The following is a 19,713-nucleotide window of genomic DNA, read 5'->3' as shown; positions in this document are numbered from 1 at the left end:
CAGTCTCACTCTGTCACCCAGGCTGGAGTGCAGTGGCATGATCTTGGCTCACTGCAACCTCCACCTCCTGGGTTCAAGCAATACTCGTGCCTCAGCCACCCAAGTAGCTGGGATTATAGGTGTGCACCACCACAGCTGGTTGATTTTTTGTATTGTTAGTAGAGATGAAGTTTCACTATGTTGCCCAGGCTGGTCATTTACTCATAGCCTCAAGTGATCCACCTGTCTCAGCCTCCCAAAGTGCTGGGGTTACAGGCATGAGCCACCATGCCTGGCATAGACTGGGTAATTTATAAAGAAAAGAGGTTTAATTGACTCATGATTTTACAGGCTGTACAGGAAGCATAGTGGCTTCTGCTTCTGGGGAGGCCTCGAGAAGCTTCCAATCATGGCAAAAGGTAAAGGCAGAGCAAGGCATCTCACATGGTGGGAGCAGGAGTGACAGAGAGAGGGGAGGGACTATACACTTTTAAACAAACAGATCTCAAGGGAACTCACTATCACGAGACCACCACCAAGGGGATTGTACTAAACCATTCATGAGAAAATGCTACTATGATCCACTCACCTCCCATCAGGCCCCACTTCCAACACTGGGGATTATAATTCGACCTGAGATTCAGGTGGGGACATGGATCCAAATCATTATCAGAATTGTTTTCTTAATTTCATTTTTGAGTGTTCATTACTAGGGTATAGAAATACAACTGATTTTTGTGTATTGGTCTTGTATCCTGCAACTGAGGTGTTTTGTTTTGAGACAGAGTCTTGCTCTGTGCCCCAGGCTGGAGTGCAATGGTGTGATCTTGGCTCACTGTAACCTCCGCCTCCTGGGTTCAAGTGATTCTCCTGCCTCAGCCTCCTGAGTAGCTGGGATTACAGGCGCCTGCCACCATGCCCAGCTAATGTTTATATTTTTAGTAGAGACGGCATTTCACCATGTTGGCCAGGCTGGTCTTGACCTCCTACCTCAGGTGATCCACCTACCTCAGCATCCCAAAGTGCTGGGATTACAGGCATGAGCTACCACGCCCAGCCACAACTGAGTTTTGTATTTTGGTCCTGTATCCTGAAACCTTGCTGAACTCCTTCATTAGCTCTCATAGTTTTTTTGTAGATGCCTTAGGATTTTCTATATTCAGGATCATGTCATCTGCAAACATAGTTTTACTTCCACCTTTCCTATCTGGATGCCTTTTAATACTTTTTCTAGCCTGTCTGGTTAGAAATTCCAATACAATATTAATAGAAATAATGAGTGAACATCCTTGTATTTGTTCTTGACTTTAGGGAGAAAGCTCTCAATCTTTTACCCTAAAGCATGAAATTATCTGTGGATTTTCAGAGATACCCTTTCATGGGTTGGGAAGGTTCCCTCCTATTCCTAGTTTATTCATTGTTTTTATTTTGAATTTTATCAAATGCTTTATCTGAAGTTACTGAGATGATTATGTGGGTTTTGTGCTTTATTCTATTAATATGGTGTATTATATTGATTTTCATCTGATGGACAAACTGCATGCATTCCTGGGATAAATCCCATATGGTCATGATATATCATCCCTTTATATGTTGCTAGATTCAGTTCACTAGGCTTTTGTTAAGGATTTTTATATCTAAATTCATAGGAGATATTGGTTGGTAGTTTTCCTTCTTGTGTTTTTTTTTTTCTGGCTTTGGTATCTGGGTAATACTAGCCTCATAGAAGGAGTTGGGAAGTATTTCCTCCTCTTCTATGCTTATGGAAGAGTTTATGAACAATTAATATTAATTCCTCTTTACATGTTTGGTAGAATTCACCAGTCAAGCCATCTGGCCCTGGGCTTTTTTGTGGGGGAAGGATTTTTTATTACTAATTCAATATCTTTTCTTGTTATACATCTTTCAGATTTTCCACTTCTTCTTGAGTCAATTTCAGTAGTTTGTGTGTTTCTAGAAACTTGTTCATTTCATCTAAGTTATCTAATTTGACACAGTTGTCCATAGTATTCCCTTATAATTCTTTTTATTTTGTAAGGTCAGTAGTAACATCTACACTCTCATTCCTAATTTTAGTAATTTTGGACCTTTTCTCCTCTATGCTTGATTAGCCTAGCTAAAAGTTTTAGCTAGCTAAAAGCTAAAAGTAAATTTTGTTGATATTTTCAAAGAACCAACTTCTGGTTTCCTTTATTTTTTTCCATTGTTTTTCTACCTCTATTTCATTTATTTCCACTTTGCACATTAATATTTCCTTCCTTCTGCTTGCTTTGAGTGTAGTTTGATCTTCTTTTCCAGTTTCTTAAAGTGGAAGTTTAAGTTATTGATTTGAGATCTTTCTTCTTTTCAATATAGGCATTTACAACTATCAATTTAGCTCTAAGTAATGTAGTAGTATTGGATATAAGGTACTTTTAATGAACTTAAATTGCTATGGTACTTAGATTTCTTTGGATACATTTTAAAATATGGGATAGTAAGCCAGGTGCAGAAGCATGTACCTGTAGACCCAGCTACTTGGGATGCTGAGGTAGGAGGATTACTTGAGCCCAGGAGTTCGAGACCAGCCTAGGGAATATAGTGAGACCCTGCCTCTAAAAAAATTGTTTAAATTTTAAAAAGTGGCAGCACACAGTGGCTCACACCTGTAATCCCAGCACTTTGGGAAGCTGAGGCAGGAGATCACTTGAGTTCAGGAGTTCAAGACCAGCCTGGGCAACATGGCGAAAGCCCATCTCTACCAAAAATACAAAAATTAGCCAGGCATGGTGGCACATGCTGTGGTCCCAGCTACTCAGGATGCTGAGCCAGGAGGATCACTCGAGCCCAGGAAGTCAAGGCTGCAATAAGCCGTGATCGCACCACTGCACCCCAGCCTGGGTGACAGAGCAAGACCCTGTCTCAAAAAAATAAATAGAAAAGAAAGTATGGGATAATAGTGACAGTTTATTTTTTAAACATCAATATATGTAATAACTTAGTATTTAACTATTTAAACTTACGATAAAAAAAAGCTTTAAATGTCAACAAAGGAGGTATATAGATTTTCAAAACTCTTTTAGAGGGCAATAAGCAAGTCTGAAGCAGGCTCCAGTAAAGGCCATCACTGAATCTGGAGAAGTGACCGTGTCCAAGTTTGTCAGTGAAGCCACCCAAAAGGAATGGGTTCAGCTGGACAGGGCAGGCATTGTCTGCCATTATGCAGAACAAGAATGCAGAGTCAGAAATTAATGAGGTATTAAGAATGAAGAAAACTATACTGTTTGCACACCTGAGTTTGTGACTAAAAAATTCACATCATGATTATAAAAGTAATGATGATGATTAGAGCACACAAGAGCCTTTTAAGACAGATGCTATGTTTTGAAAACCTCCTGCTGGATGGGAAAGTACAAATGAGAACCTTTCCTTGGTTGGCACAATTCCTTCCCTTCCTGGGCATCACCTTACTAACTAGAACTAAAGAGCCATATTTGCAATGCTAATACCCAGCCCTGGGGAGAGCCCACAGTTGCCCATCCGCCTTACTTACCTCAGGAACACAATTGCTAACTTCCCAAACAAAAAGCTGCCCAAATGTCAGCCACAGCTACCAGTGACCAAAACACAGGAGCTCCCAGAAAAGAAGAGGAGCAACAACCACAGGCTGGTATCAACTTAGATGGGGGACAGTAAGGACTCAGGTCCTAAGACGGGGGCAGGGGGAACTGGCTGCAGAATAGAACACTAAGGAAATCTGTCAGAAAATAGTCAGGAACAAGGTAGGAAAAGTGTCCAGCCCTGATCTTCCCCCAGAGAAACAGATCTTGTCAAAAGAAGGTACATTCTATAAATTTACAGTGCCAGGCAGAGTCCCCCAATCCTCAGAGAGCTGGAGTAGGGATTTGGAACAAGATCTAAGAACCCCCAGGTACCAGGGGACCCAGATCCTAGGACTGCTGAAGTACAGAAGAGAGCCAGAGTGGTTGCTGCCCAATGACAACCACTGACTCCTCCAGCACCTCAGGCTATCCCCAGTAAGAAGCATCCCAGACTGTGCATTTCCAACCCTGCTGAAAAGCAGGACAAGGAGAAAGGGCTGACTCTGCCTCAGCTGCAGATGAGGCTGTGCAGTCTGCAGACAATTGTGGGTTCATTACTGACAGTAGAAATGGCACTGGAAATTGTCGGGATCAGAGCAAAGGGGCTTCTGAGTGAACTAGGAACACCAGCACTGACAGCAAAACCACCCAGCTAAACAAACAGTAGGATATACGTAATTCCAGCAAGGTCACAAAACATAAGATCAATACACAAAAATCGATTATTTTTCTATATACCAGCAATGAACAATTCAAAAATGAAATTTAAAAAATAATTCCATTCATAATAGTATCAATACAATAAAATGCTTAGGGATAAATTTTACAAAAAATGCACTTCTTTGATACAATAAAACTTTTATACACTAAAACTGGTGCTGAGAGAAATTAAAGAAGATTTAAATAAATGAGGGGACATCCATATTTATGGATTGGAAAACTCAATCTTGTTAAGATGACAATTCTCCCCAAATTGATCTATAGCTTCAATGCAATCCTTTCAAAATTCCACCTGCCTTTTTTGCAGGAATTAACAAGCTGATCCTAAAATTGATATGAAAATACAAATAACCTAGAATAGCCAAAACAATTTTGAAAAAGAACAAAGTTGGAGGACTTACAGTTCCTAATTTCAAAACATATTATAAATCTACAAAAATAAGGACAGGCTGGGCACGATGGCTCATGCTTATAGTATCAGCTACTTGGGAGGTTGAGGTGGGAGGATCACTTGAGCCCAGGACTTCAAGGCTGTAGTGAGCTATGATCACACCACAGTACTCCAGCCTAGGCAACAGAGCAAGACTATCTAGAAAAAGAAAAAAAAAAATCAGGAGAGTGTACTGGCATAGGGATTGACATATAGATCAATTAAACAGAATTGAGAGCTCAAAAATAAACTCAACATTTATGGCCAACTGATTTTCAACAAAGCTGCCAGAAAAATTCAAACTGGAAAGAATATTATTTTCAACAAACGGTGTGGGACAATATTCACATGCAAAAAGATAAATTTAGGTACTTCACACTAGTCATTAAAAACAGCTCAAAAACTGAGATGTGAGGAGCACCTCTGCCCGGCTGCCCCGTCTGGGAAGTGAGGAGCGTCTCTGCCCAGCCGCCCCACCTGGGAATTGAGGAGCGCCTCTGCCCGGCCGCCCATCTGGGAAGTGAGGAGCGCCTCTGCCCGGCCGCCACCCCGTCTGGGAAGTGGGGAGTGCCCCTGCCTGGCCACCCCGTCTGGGAAGTGAGGAGCGCCTCTGCCCGGCCACCCATCATCTGGGAAGTGAGGAGCGCCTCTGCCCGGCCGCCCCATCTAGGAAGTGAGGAGTGCCTCTGCCCAGCCGCCACCCCGTCTGGGAAGTGAGGAGCGCCTCTGCCCAGCCGCCACCCCGTCTGGGAAGTGAGGAGCGCCTCTGCCCGGCCGCCCATCATCTGGGAAGTGAGGAGCGCCTCTGCCCGGCCGCCCCATCTAGGAAGTGAGGAGTGCCTCTGCCCAGCCGCCACCCCGTCTGGGAAGTGGGGAGTGCCTCTGCCCAGCCGCCACCCCGTCTGGGAAGTGGGGAGTGCCCCTGCCCGGCCACCCTGTCTGGGAAGTGAGGAGTGCCTCTGCCCGGCCGCCCATCATCTGGGAAGTGAGGAGTGCCTCTGCCCGGCCTCCCCATCTAGGAGTGAGGAGTGCCTCTGCCCGGCCGCCCCATCTGGGAGGTGTACCCAACAGCCCCGAAGAGACAGCGACCATCAAGAACAGGCCATGATGATGATGGTGGTTTTGTCTAAAAGAAAGGGGGAAATGTGGGGAAAAGAAAGAGATCAGATTGTTACTGTGTCTGTGTAGAAAGAAGTAGACATAGGAGACTCCATTTTGTTCTGTACTAAGAAAAATTCTTCTGCCTTGGGATGCTGTTAATCTATAACCTTACCCTGAACCCCATGCTCTCTGAAACATGTGCTGTGTCAACTCAGGGTTAAATGGATTAAGGGCGGTGCAAGATGTGCTTTGTTAAACAGATGCCTGAAGGCAGCATGCTCGTTAAGTGTCATCACCACTCCCTAATCTCAAGGACCCAGGGACACAAACACTGCGGAAGGCCACAGGGACCTCTGCCTAGGAAAACCAGAGACCTTTGTTCACGTGTTTATCTGCTGACCTTCTCTCCACTATTATCCTATGATCCTGCCACATCCGCCTCTCCGAGAAACACCCAAGAATGATCAATAAATAAAAAAATAGCTTAAAAAGAGTCACAGATCTACATATAAGAACTAAAATTACAGGCAGGGTGCAGTGGCTCACGCCTGTAATCCCAGCACTTTGGGAGGCTGAGGTGGGCAGATCACAAGGTCAGGACTTCAAGACCAGCCTGGCCAATGTGGTAAAACCCCATCTCTACTAAAAATACAAAAATTAGCCAGGCATGGTGGCATGCGCCTATAGTCCCAGGTACTTGGGAGGCTGAGGCATAAGAATTGCTTGAACCCGGGAGGTGGAGATTGCAGTTAGCTGAGCTCATGCCACTGTACTCCAGCCTGGGCAACCAAGTGAGACTCCATTCCAAAAAAATAAAAAACCTAAAATTACAAAATGTTTAGAAGAAAATAATCCTGTGACCCTGGATTATGTGGAGTCCTAATTAGGGAAAAGGAATCAGGCTGGTGGGATTGAGGGAAAGCAACAAGAAAAAGCAGATAAGCTATAAGTTTTCCTTTCTTCATGGTCCAGGACACACAGCCCTCCTGAGCAAATAACTCACAATCTTCCTGCACCCAGCTATCACCAGACCCTCAGCTGATAGAAAAATGCAATTTAGTTCACTGCAACGTTGGTGTTATCAGTATACACAAAGCCCTCTTCAGTACACAGCACAAGCGCCATCCTATAAAATCCCCAGCAGGCCTTTGTTTCCTTGCAGTTACCTCCACACTTGCTAACTTGCCCATTGCTTCCTTGCAACATATTTTCCTACTTTCTCTAATAAATCAGCCTTTCTTAACCTACAACTGTCTTGGTAAATTCTTTGAACCATCACGCCACCAGCCCCAGATAGTCACCACTCACCCATGACATTTTGGTGGCCCATATAAGGACTCTCTCTCCTTACAGGGAATCCTCTCCATTCTCTTTCCCAACTTGTGATCCTTGGTGGCCAACATCTGAGCACAGAGACAACTAAAGGTCTCTGGCCAGACCTACACTCCAGTGGGACTGACAGGTGTCCATGTGGAAGCGTTTGACCCACCACCAGGTTCAGGTGAAGGACCTAAATTTACTTTCACTTTTCAGTCTCCCAGCAGCTGGCTTCTAGTATCCAACAATTGATGGCAACTGGCCAGGGCCACTCTCTGGTGTTGTCTGAAGGCCAAAGGGTGAATAGGGCTGAGTGCCCTGCCCAACAGGAAGGAAAGCTCTCTCCTATCTTTTCTGGTCAAAAGTCCCTAAACCCTATGTGTGACACAACTGACAGCAGAAGACTCGTACCCTCTCTTTCTCACTCTGAATTATCCATCTTGTTCAGGACTTTGCTAAATCAGGTGATCCAGACAGCCTCAGAACAATGAGTCTTCCCTTATCCGCCCGCTCTTCTGACTGGCACCAGGCTGAGTTCTTCCTTTACCCTTTTTCCTCATACCTGGGCTGATCACCCAGCGTCAGTACCTGGACTGGCCACCGATTGTAAAGCCCCTGAGCAGCCAAGAGGTCTTTTCTAACGGTGGGAGGCCCCTTTAGAAAGTGTACCCTGAGTCCCTCAGCAGACATAAGTGGAGCCCTTTTCATCTTGGCAGGATATCCAGAGAGAATGCACAGTTCAAATAGACCCAAGCAGCATGTTTTCCAGTCCCATCATGGGATAAACCCCATCTATTCCTTTAGCCTCACCTCTAGGCTGCATTCTAAAACACTGGAGAAATTTAACCTTTAGACTCTCAAGAAGAAACGTCTAATTTTCTTGTGTAATACAGCATGGCCCCTGTGCAGAAAATCCTCAAATTAGCCTCCTCAGTCTTTCATAGCCAAAAGCAGAATAAGGAGGACAGGGCTAAAAAGAAAGAAAACCACAGGGACAAAAGGCAGGCTCAGCTCTTGGCTGCTTTACAAGCCCTCAGCCCCCTCCAGGTTTCCCTAAGAACACTCCTCCAAATAACCGTCATTGGTACAAAAGGCTAGGCCACTAACAGGCAAACTGCCCTAATGGGATAAATGGGAAAAAAACCCACATGGCTTACCCCAACCCATGAGCTCGGCCGCTAGAAAAGGGACTGCACTGAGGACCGAAGGGCCCCTGGAACAGAATCCTGACCCCTGATGGCCTTAAGCTGAAGGGGCTCTCTGCTCCCGCTGGAGACAGCTCACTTTAACTGGTGGCTTGTGGAGGTAGGAGGAATTCATCCCATACTGTGTAGGTCTGGGGTGCTAAGGCTCTCCCTGATAGGAAATGAGCGAGAGGGGTAGGGATGCTGCCCTGCGCTGTCCAGTGGCTGCAGGCTCAAAAGCCATCCTGTAAAGCTTAACCTTTTCCTCTATTCCTTTCTTTTCTTTTTCTCTTTTTCTGTTCAATCCAGGAGTCTAACCTTAAATGGGAAAAAACAGTTTGTAATATCCTAGCCTGATTTTATTGTTCTCTTTAAAACTCCAGCTGCTTACATATTATGCTGTTTTTGTGCACATTTTAAACTAATGGGCAAATTACAAAAAAAAAATTCAGAGCTCAAATATTTAACTTGCACTACAGAGTTAAACAGTCTTCTAAAGCTCTCGATTTTCCTCTCTCTTTTTCTTCCTGCTTTAGAACTGCTGTTACTAAGCTGCTGCTGCTGAAATAAGACTCATTATTTATGGTCTAACTAGAATGTAAACACTGGAAACTCTTTTAAAGTTAAGAAAAAAAAAGGTTAAAGAAGTTTTGTTAAACCAAACAACCTAGAATTTTTTAACCTCCCTTAAAGTTGATGGAAATAAATCCAGCACCTCTTTTAAATCTGTTTTGTCTTGTTTTGAGACAGAGTCTCTCTCTGTCACCCAGGCTGGAGTGCAGTGGCACCATCTCAGCTCACTGCAACCTCCACCTCCTGGGTTCAAGCGATTCTCCTGCCTCAGCCTCCTGAGTAGCTGTGATTACAGGCATGTGCCACCAAGCCCAGCTAATTTTTGTATTTTTAGTAGAGACGGGATTTCACCATGTTGGCCAGGCTGGTCTCGAACTCCTGGCTGCAAGTGCTCCATCAGCGTCAGCCTCCCAAAGTGCTGGAATTACAGGCATGAGCCACCGTGCTGGGCTAAATCTTCTTCTTAAAGCGAACTCTTTGCATTCAGTTCTACCACAGGATCTCAGTAATTCTCCAACTGCCTGTTAAGCAGCTTCACCCTCTTGATATTAATGCTTTTATAAGGGAGATAGTACACGATTGCTATTTGCAGAGGAACCTCCAAAACTATCACCCAGATGAAACTTCTTTATATTTGTCCTAGTGATGTTATTTACCCCCACACCACAACTTCAATGTGCTGAAGTACTAGTATTTAACTGTTTTTCTCATACTCTTTACAGCCCATCTTCTTTCCTGCCTTCCTAAGTTTACCATATATTGTCATTTTCCTTAAATATGATTCTGTTTTTACTCTATCATAGCTAGCTACTGCCTCAAATGGCTGCACCCAAGCACCCACTCTACCCAGTAATATCTCAAGTTGCTAACGTAACACACAATACTGACTGCTGAATATGCCCACACAAGCAGGCACTTGAGGATGACATTACACTCCTTCCTAGCTGTTGCACTATCTATAGAAGAAATTGTTAACATACAAGCCCAATAGTCTGGATTCGACTACACCACTTACACACACACCAAAAACGCAGGTTTAAGAGGGGGACCTAGGCCAATGGATGCCTCATGGCAATCATCCACCATGACAAAGTGGATCGGGAAGGCACCAGAGATGGCCTGTAAGGCAAACCTCTGCATTAGAAACTCCAAGGGGTTCGGCCCTTTCCTAGGGGCTTTAACACAAGTGCATTGCAATTCTGCCCTCAACTATAATCAGGTACACCAGGAACAGGTGCCATATGACGACTCTGATCAGCTCACTGTGGACGCCCACAGGCTTTCTCTATTGCGGGGAAACAACAAAGTTAATGCCTGCAAGATTGATGATGATGACTTTATGCCTATAAACAATTCAGCAATGGGGATGGAATATATAGGAATAGGGGTCAAGACTAGACAACTCCTCATCCTCACTAATACATCTACATCTTTTTCTCAATTTTCCCTTATCCCATTAATATTTAGAAATCTTTATCTGTCAGACCCCACTTCTCCCACCTGTAATAATGCTCATAGCAGTTCATTTGTACCATTCATTGTTAATGCAATGTCTCATTTTGTGTCTTCTAGAATACAACAATTTCAAACCAAAATGTTACTGCAGCAATGGTATCAGCCATTAAGGGTACTCCATTAACTCTCCTTTAAACACAGCAGGACAAAATTTTAGGCTGCTAAATAAATGCTGTTCCCCCATAGTCCCACAGTCACCCCGCCCAATTCAAGTCCCAACTCCGGGGTTTAGGCCCATATAACCTCCTAACAGGCCAGTAATCCTAGGTAGGGCCACCTCTATGCCCCTGGTCAGCAGGAAGCAGTTGGAAGATGAGACCTTCACCCACATGACAAAGATTTGTCACTATTGCTCTGTCAGCAAGAAAATGTAGAGTCTTAATTAGGGAAAAGGAGTCAGGCTGGTGGGACTAAGGGAAAGCAAAAAGAGAAGGCAGATAAGCTGTAAGTTTGCCTTTCTTCATGGTGCAGGACACGTAGCCCTCTTGGGCAAATAACTCACAGTCTTCCTGCACCTATCAACAGACCCTCGGCTGACAGAAAACTGCAGGTTAGCTCACTGGAACCTCGGTGTTATCAATACTGCACAAAGACCCCTTCAGCACACAGCACAAGCATCACCCTGTAAAATCCCCAGCAAGTCTTTGTCTCCTTGTAGTTAGCTTCTCTCTTGCAAACTTGCCTGTTGCTTCCTTGCAATGTATCTTCCTACTTTCTCTGATACATCTGCCTTTCTTTACCTGCAACTGTCTTGGTAAACTCTTTTTACCACCAAACCACCAGCCCCAGATAGTTACTGCTCACCCATGACAGATTAGACAGAGTCCTTCAAAAGCCTAATGCATAAAGAAAAATCTGATAAATTAAACTGCAGAAACATTTAAAAAATGTTTGCTCTTAAGAAGACATCACTTAGAAAATAAAAAGAAAAATCACAGACTAGAAAAAATATTTGCAAATCATATACCTGATCAAGGACTTGTATCTAGAATATATAAAGGCCTCTCATAACGCAATAAGTACACAAACAATTCAATTAAAATATGGGTAAAATATTTGAACATTTCACCGAGGAAGATATATAAACTGTTAACGAGCACACGAGTAGATGCTTGACATCATTAGTCATTAGAGAAATGCAAATTAAAGCCATAATGAGCTACCACTAGAATAGCTATAATTAGGTAAGACGTTGGTAAATTACAGAACCACCTGTTTCTGTATAATAAAGTTTTATTGCAATACAGCCCTCCCATTTATTTATAATGTATGGTCTATGCCTGCTTTTACACTATCATGGCAGAATTGAGTAGCTGCTACAGAGACCACAGTGGTCTGCAAATTCTAAAATATTTACTATCTGACCTTTCACAGAAAAAGTGACAAGTATTGGTGAGGTTGTGGTAGGTAAATCATACCTCAACACTGCTGATGGTGTGTCCAGAATTGGTGCGTTCTTGGTCTCACTGACTTCAAGAATGAAGCCGCGGACCCTCGCGGTGAATGTTACAGCTCTTAAGGTGGCGCGTCTGGAGTTTGTTCCTTCTGATATTTGGATGTGTTCGGAGTTTCTTCCTTCTGGTGGGTTCGGGGTCTCGCTGGCTCAGGAGTGAAGCTGCAGACCATTGCGGTGAGTGTTACAGCTCTTAAGGCAGCGCATCTGGAGTTGCTCTTTCTCCCTGGTGGGCTCCTGGTCTCACTGGCTTCAAGAGTGAAGCTGCAGACTTTTGCAGTGAGTGTTACAGCTCATAAAAGCAGTGTGGACCCAAAGAGTGAGTGAGCAGCAGCAAGATTTAAAGCAAAGAGTGAAAGAACAAAGCTTCCACAATGTGTAAGGGGACCCGAGCGGGTTGCCACTGCTGGCTGGGGCAGCCTGCTTTTATTCTCTTATCTGGCCCCACCCACGTCCTGCTGATTGGTAGAGCCCAGTGGTCTGTTTTGACAGGGCGCTGATTGGTGCATTTACAATCCCCGAGCTAGACACAAAGGTTCTCCACGTTTCCATCAGATTAGTTAGATACAGAGTATCCACACAAAGGTTCTCCAAGGCCCCACCAGAGCAGCTAGATACAGAGTGTCGATTGGTGCACTCACAAACCCTGAGCTAAACACAGGGTGCTGATTGGTGTGTTTACAAACCTTGAGCTAGATACAGAGTGCCAATTGGTGTATTTACAATCCTTTAGCTAGACATAAATGTTCTCCAAGACCCCACCAGAGCAGCTAGATACAGAGTGTCGATTGGTGCACTCATAAACCCTGAGCTAGACACAGGGTGGTGACTGGTGTGTTTACAAACCTTGAGCTAGATACAGAGTGCCGATTGGTGTATTTACAATCCCTGAGCTAGACACAGGGTGCTCCAAGGCCCCACCAGAGTAGCTAGATACAGAGTGCCGACTAGTGTATTTACAATCCCTGAGCTAGACATAAAGGTTCTCCATGTCCCCACCAGACTCAAGAGCCCAGCTGGCTTCACCCAGTGGATCCCGCACTGGGGCTGCAGGTGGAGCTGCCTGCCAGTCCCACGCCATGCGCTCGCACTCCTCAGCCCTTCGGTGATCGATGGGACTGGGCGCTGTGGAGCAGGGGGCAGTGCTCGTCGGGGAGGCTCGGGCTGCACAGGAGCCCACGGAGGCGGGGGAAGGCTCAGGCATGGCAGGCTGCAGTCCCGAGGCCTGCCCCGCGGGAAGGCAGCTAAGGCCCGGCGAGAAATCGAGCGCAGCGCCGGTGGGCTGGCACTGCTGGGGGACCCAGTACACCCTCCGCAGCCGCTGGCCCGGGTGCTAAGTCCCTCATTGCCCGGGGCCGGCAGGGCCGGCCGGCTGCTCCAAGTGCGGGGCACGCCAAGCCCACGCCTACCCGGAACTCCAGCTGGCCCGCAAGCACCGCACGCAGCCCCGGTTCCTGCTCGCGCCTCTCCCTCCACACCTCCCTGCAAGCTGAGGGAGTGGGCTCCGGCCTTGGCCAGCCTAGAAAGGGGCTCCCACAGTGCAGCGGTGGGCTGAAGGGCTCCTCAAGTGCCGCCAAAGTGGGAGCCCAGGCAGAGGAGGCGCCGAGAGCGAGTGAGGGCTGTGAGGACTGCCAGCACGCTGTCACCTCTCAATGGGAATGTGAAATAACAGTCTGGTGGCTTTTTAAAAGGTTAATCACAAATTTACCATATTACCCAGCCATTCCATTCCTAGGTAATAAAGAGAAATGAAATTGTATGTCCACATGGACTTGCACAGGGATGTTCACAGCAGCATTATTCATACAGCCAAAAAGTGGAAAGAACCAAATGTTAATCTACTGGTAAACAGACAAGTGAAATGCAGTCTATCTATACAATAGAATACTATTAAGAAATAGAAGGGCCTGGCGCAGTGGCTCACACCTGTAATCCCAGCACTTTGGGAGGCCGAGACGGGTGGATCACAAGGTCAGGAGATCAAGACCATCCTGGCTAACATGGTGAAACCCTGTCTCTACCAAAAATACAAAAAAAATTAGCCAGGTGTGGTGGTGGGCCCTGTAGTCCCAGCTACTCGGGAGGCTGAGGCAGGAGAATGGTGTGAACCTGGGAGGCGGAGCTTGCAGTGAGCTGAGATCACTCCACTGCACTCCAGCCTGGGCAACAGAGCGAGACTCTGTCTCAACAACAACAAAAAAAGAAATGATATATTGATACATGCTACAACATGGATGACCTCAAAACCACTACATTGAATGAAAGAAGCCCAATGCAAAAGATCAGATATTATACGATTTCATGTATATGAAATGTCCAGACGAAGCATTAAACCTAGAGACAGAAAGCAGATTAGCAGTTGCCTGAGCCTATGGGTAGGAATAGGGATTGGTTACAAATAAACAAAAGCAGGGGATTTTTGGGGGGTGATCAAAATATTCTAAAACTTGATTGTGATGGTGGTTACACAACCCTATAAATATACTAAAAATCATTAAATTATAACACTTAACATGTGTAAATATTGTGGTATGTAAACTGCCTCAACAAAGCTGTTTTAAGAAAGGCTATAAAAATTACATAACTTTCTAACGTAAATTACAAAGACAGAATCTGGTTCTTAAAGGAAAAATATCAAAGCAATGACATAGACAAGCTCACACTAGCCTAAAGGGGGTTGGGGGATAAATATACCATATAAAAAACAAGAAGAGATTAAACCACAAATGTGATTTCCCCCATTATAATAAGATAGTTTGTACAATTCTTTCCTGATGAATGTGTAAGTCTTGAATCAGACATGTTTTGAGAAAATATGAATTACCAAAATTGGTTCAAGAAGAACCATAAAATCAGAAGTTAAAAAAAAAAAACTTTGAAAAACAAGTACTGAAAGAAACATTCCATAAAAAGGCACCAGACCAAAGATTTTTATGTGCAAGTCCTTTTGAATTTTCAAGGAACAGTCAGTCCCAAATATTCATCAAATGTCTACGAGGTTATTGGACCCTGTGCCGGGCACTGAGCTGCAACAGTGTTCACAGTCGGGCATTCTCCACGCTCTCGCGGCACTCACAGTTGAAGAGGGGGGGCAAATGTTAATCAAAGGTACCACCTCTAGGCCCAATTATTAACTTAGGCTATGACCTAGAGAAAAGGGCCCCAATTCTCCAGAAAGTTGTAAGATATGTTCTTGACATAGATTGGAGGTTTGGAGAGTTTTCCATGACCTAGGGATGCTGTGCTGAGATCTGCCAGGGACTAAGCATTTCATAGAGGCTCCCATAAAGGCCCTGCCTGGGTCAAGGGGGAACATACCATGTTAGAAGGGTCACTATGGCTGAATTTCAGGGAGCAAGTGGGGAGTGTGGCACAATGAGACTAGAGATGTAGGCTGTGATAAGAAGACAGAGACTGGCAGGTCATCTTAAGGATTTGGGGGTTTTAGTCAAAGACTGATAGGAGATGATTAAAGCCTTTAAATGCATTAAAGCAGAACAAAAAGACATTTAAAAAAGAAAAGAAACATGATCAGATTTGTGTTTTGAAAATATCCCTCAAGCAATAGTATGGACAATGGACAGGAGACGGGCCTAGGGTAGATGTAAGGCAATAGGTTTGAAGGCTACAATAAGAGTCCTGGTGACAAAGAATCATGGCTTGGATAGCAGAGGAGATTTAAGAGATGATGCAGGAGTTAAGCAGGCTTGGAAATGGATTAGATACGTGGTTAAGGAGAGAGAGGAGCATGGCGGGCTATAAGCAACTGGATAGATGGTGGTAGTGTTATTCACTGAAATAGAAAACACAGAAAGAGAACCAAGTTTTGAGGGAAAGATAATTTGTTTTCTGAGTAGAGACTGAGGTGCTTTGGGGGTGATGAAGGATAATGCTGAGCGAACAGTTTCAAATGCAGGTGACTTGTTCTGGGAAGACGTCTGGGTTGGATGAAGAAACTGTCAACTGCATATTTACTGAGAGGCTGAGTGAGAACTCTGAGAAAGATTAGATTGAAAAGAGAAGAAGACTTTAAAGAGCTCATCACTGAAATGACTGCAGAGGAGAAAGAACTGGCAAAGGAATGAGAAGGAAGGATTGGGGAGGTAGAAGAATGTAGTGTGGTGGAATTAAAAGGAAGAGTGTTTCAGAGAGGGAGAGGTCAACAGTGTCAAATGCTGCCCAGAAGTCACGGCATCCTTTAGATATAACAATGTGTAGGTTGTATTCCTTATCTATTGCTGTGTAACAAATTACCCTAAACTTCAGCACCTTACAACAACAAATATATATTAACTGATTGCTGTGGTTTGAATGCATCCCCTCCAAAATTCAGGTGTTGCCAATGTGACAGTATGAAGGGGTGGGGTGTTTACGAGATGATTAGGCCATGAAGTTTCCTCTCTCATTAATGGGATTGAGGCCGTTCTAAAGGAGGCTTCTTGCAGCATTTGCTTAGCTCTCTCTTCTCCTCTTCAACCATGTGAGGACACAGTATTCCTCTCTCCCAGAGGATGCAGCAAGAAGGCCCTCACCACGTACCCGTGCTGGCACCTTGATCTTGGACTTCCCAGCCTCCAGAAACAGTGAGGAAATGAATTTCTGTTCTTTATAAATGACCCAGTCTTAGGTATTCTGTCACAGAAGCATGAACAGATTAAGATACTCATGCAGTTTCTGAAACTGAAGGATCCAGGAGCTGCTCAGCTGAGTGATTTGGGCCCAGTGTCTCATGAGGCTGCAGCCATCTAAAAGGCCAGTAGACCTGGAGGATCCTCATCCACCAAGGCCCACTCACACCTGGCTCTCCCAGAGTAGGCAATCTATGCAGGAGAGAAACGTTGAAGTCACATTGCCTTTTTCAACCCAGACTTGGAAATCACCCACCATCACTTCTGACACATTCTATTTATCATACGCAAGTCAACCAAGTACAACCTACACTTAAAGGGAGGGAAATTAGACCTGCCTTTTGAAGGAGGGACTTCTAAGGAATTTGTGGACATGTTTTAAAACCACCACAGAGGTCAGGGGACCTGAGTGAGCACTATCTCTGCTGACTAATGAGGAGTGGGAGCTAGATTGGGGTGGGTTGAGAAGTGAATATGAGGCTAGAAAATGGAGCCTGCTAATGTAGATGACTCTCTCAGGAAGTGTGTGAAGGAGAGAAAATTGATTAGAATAGTGTTGAGGCCTGATATGTTGGTAATCATTAGTCTGCAGGAATTAGAAGGAAATCCCAGAAAAATGGAGAGCAAATGGTGTCAGATTGAAGGAGAAAATCATAATCTAAAACATCCAGAGGAGAAAATCGCAACAAAAGGTAAGATCAACTTGATGGATCTCCAACCTCAGGAGCAGCAGATATGAGGAAACACGAGTGAGCCCTGGGCACCTAAGAGTAACCTTCTCCAGCGTTTGCAAAGCAACTGGCAGCAGAAGCTTAAGAGCAGTAAGTGCGAGTGTGAGCATCTGAGCCAGAGAGGCAGGGCGTTGCAGTGCCCATGGTAACTATGTGGTTTCCCCCAACACACACACATGCCTGTCCCAGAAGACTGGATGCTAACAAACCCTATCCCATTGCAAGTCCAAATTCTTTCCTGAAATTACTGGCAACAAGGTGCTATGAAAAAATCCAGCACTCACATGTGAGCTAACAGGGAACTTCAAAAATTAAGACAAACACCCAACCAAGAATGACAAAATATTTGAGGAAAACTCTAACACTAAAAATGAGAAACACCACCCCCCACGAAGGAGAGAAGTCACATCTAAGGAAATAGAACTAATAGAGCAAGCAACATGACTCACTCTGAGGGGGAAGAAACTGGCTCCGAATATCTTATACCTGAGCCCCAGCTTTGACATTCACAAGCCAAGAATGTATCTTTTTGTATTCTGGTTCCACTGTGACAATCTTCTTTAAGGCAAAGGATGACTCCGTCTAGTTATCTGAATGGTGAAAGAGTTACATACTGGATAAAAACAGGTGGGCTTAAATATCAATATTTTCCCAGCACATCAAAGAATTGTTATGTATGTTATAATATTATGTAACCAACGACTCAAGATGAAAGGCACTAAAAGGGACAAATGGTGATATTTCATACCAGTAAAATAACAATTAACTTGAATTTTTATATATCTCACATAAGCGCTTGTAAATATATAAATCAAAATAAAATAGAAATATCAGACTTCTGATAAGATGATGAAATGAAATTGTATTAGCAATTTTCTCCCTCAATACCTTACCAAATGAGCAATAAGTGGTAAATGCACTCACACACACACGCGTGTGAGCGCACACACACACACGTTGAACACGCACATTATCAGCATCGCCAAACTAGATCGGTAGTTAAGAAGAGAGTCTAGAGCAAAAGGAGGTCCAACTTAGCAACACTGCAGCCTCAACCCCCAGTAGCCTTACTGGAGAACTCACAAAACCCTGAAAATACTTGCTAACGTCATCAAACCTGGAGTGATCTAACCTGAATGGGAATCCTTATCTTTTACTTCTTCTAGGTAGTACACATGGATCCTAGAAAAGAACAGGGGTTGGGAGGAAGTGGGGATGATTAACAGGTACAAAAAGAGTAGTTAGAATGAATAAGACCTAGTATTTGCTAGCATAACGGGGGGACTATAGCCAAAAATCATTTAATTGTACATTTTTACATAAGAGTATAATTGGAGAGTTTGTAACACAAAGGATAAATGCTTGAGGTTTACCCCCATTTACCCTGATGTGATTGTTACACATTGCATGCCTGTATCAAAGAGTCTGATGCAACCCATAAATATATGCACCTATGTACCCACAAAAACTTTTTTTTTTTTCTGAGACGGAATCTGGCTCTTGTCACCCAGGCTGGAGTGCAGTGGTGCAATCTTGGCTCACTGCAACCTCCACTTCCCAGGTTTAAGCGATTCTCCTGCCTCAGCCTCCCAAGTAGCTGGGATTACAGGCACCCGCCACCACGCCCAGCTAATTTTTGTATTTTTGTATTTTTAGTAGAGACGAGGTTTCACCACGTTAGCCAGGCTAGTCTTGAACTCCTAACCTCAGGTGATCCACCCACCTCGGCCTCCCTAACTGCTGGGATTACAGCTACCACGCCTGGCCAGAAAAATATTTTTAAAGAGTAGGGTAGGTAAAAATGAAACTGACTCTCAGACAAAAGGAAAAATTTCAAAACTACCCACTGAATTGGGAAAATGTTCCAAAGAAGAAGAAATCCAAATTGACAAACTTTAAAAAGATTGTTTTAAAGCCCACTGACTGAAGGCCATCAGGAACATTTCTATAGTAGAAAATAGTTTGGTTTATTTACCTTGCTGCAGGAGCGGGGAAAGCACTCCAAAGGAACTGTAGAGGTCTCAACAAGGAATTGAAAGGGGCTTCTCATAGGATTTGGGCTTGTACTAGATTATTTCAAGAAAAGCTGGAGAAGTGAGGATTAGCTGTGAGTTGAGGGTTGTTAATAAGTTAGGGCAATGCAGTGGCTTATCTTAATTCTTATCTAGGAAGTAGGACTAAGGTAAGACTACAGTCGTCATTGGTAAATGAGCAGCAGTCACTCCAGTCAGAAATGGAGAATGTTTTATTGTTTCCATGGTTGCAAAATGGCTTTTCTCTATTTTGTTCCAGACATGGTCATGCAGTAGCCTTGTCTATATCCCATTTATATTCTAGAAAGTATTCTTTATGTTTGTTTGGGAACACCATAACCTGACTGCTAGCTGCCAAAAAGGAAGTGTTACACTTTCTCAAGATAATCAATCTCACTAGCAGTAAGGTAAATACAAATTACAGCAGCAAATACCTCTTTGCACACATCAGATTGACAAAAATAAAAG

At 44.1% G+C, this 19,713-nt stretch overlaps 1 protein-coding gene and 1 long non-coding RNA gene across 8 annotated transcripts in view; one reads left to right on the top strand and one right to left on the bottom strand.

Annotated features, from left to right (window-relative positions):
* Nucleotides 1–7,312, top strand: part of FAM153A (family with sequence similarity 153 member A) — an 89,179-nt gene extending 81,867 nt beyond the window's left edge. The window contains exon 29 of the mRNA XM_017009359.2: nucleotides 7,165–7,312. The gene's annotated coding sequence lies outside the window, so the exon portion shown is untranslated. The remainder of the gene's footprint in view (nucleotides 1–7,164) is intronic.
* LOC107986489 (uncharacterized) overlaps nucleotides 1–19,713 on the bottom strand; it is a 57,699-nt gene that overhangs the window by 28,519 nt on the left and 9,467 nt on the right. For 2 of the 7 annotated variants that reach the window (XR_001743018.2, XR_001743024.2), the window contains exon 1: nucleotides 7,120–7,215. The exons of 3 other annotated variants lie outside the window; for them this stretch is intronic. This is a non-coding gene — a long non-coding RNA (uncharacterized LOC107986489). Of the gene's footprint in view, nucleotides 1–7,119; nucleotides 7,216–11,818; nucleotides 11,861–19,187; nucleotides 19,359–19,713 lie in introns of those variants that run through there. 2 more of the 7 variants (XR_001743021.2, XR_001743019.2) reach the window with 2 other exon arrangements.

Source organism: Homo sapiens, chromosome 5, assembly GCF_000001405.40.
Source record: "Homo sapiens chromosome 5, GRCh38.p14 Primary Assembly".
NCBI lineage: Eukaryota > Metazoa > Chordata > Mammalia > Primates > Hominidae > Homo > Homo sapiens.
This window is presented reverse-complemented; position numbering and strand designations above follow the sequence as displayed.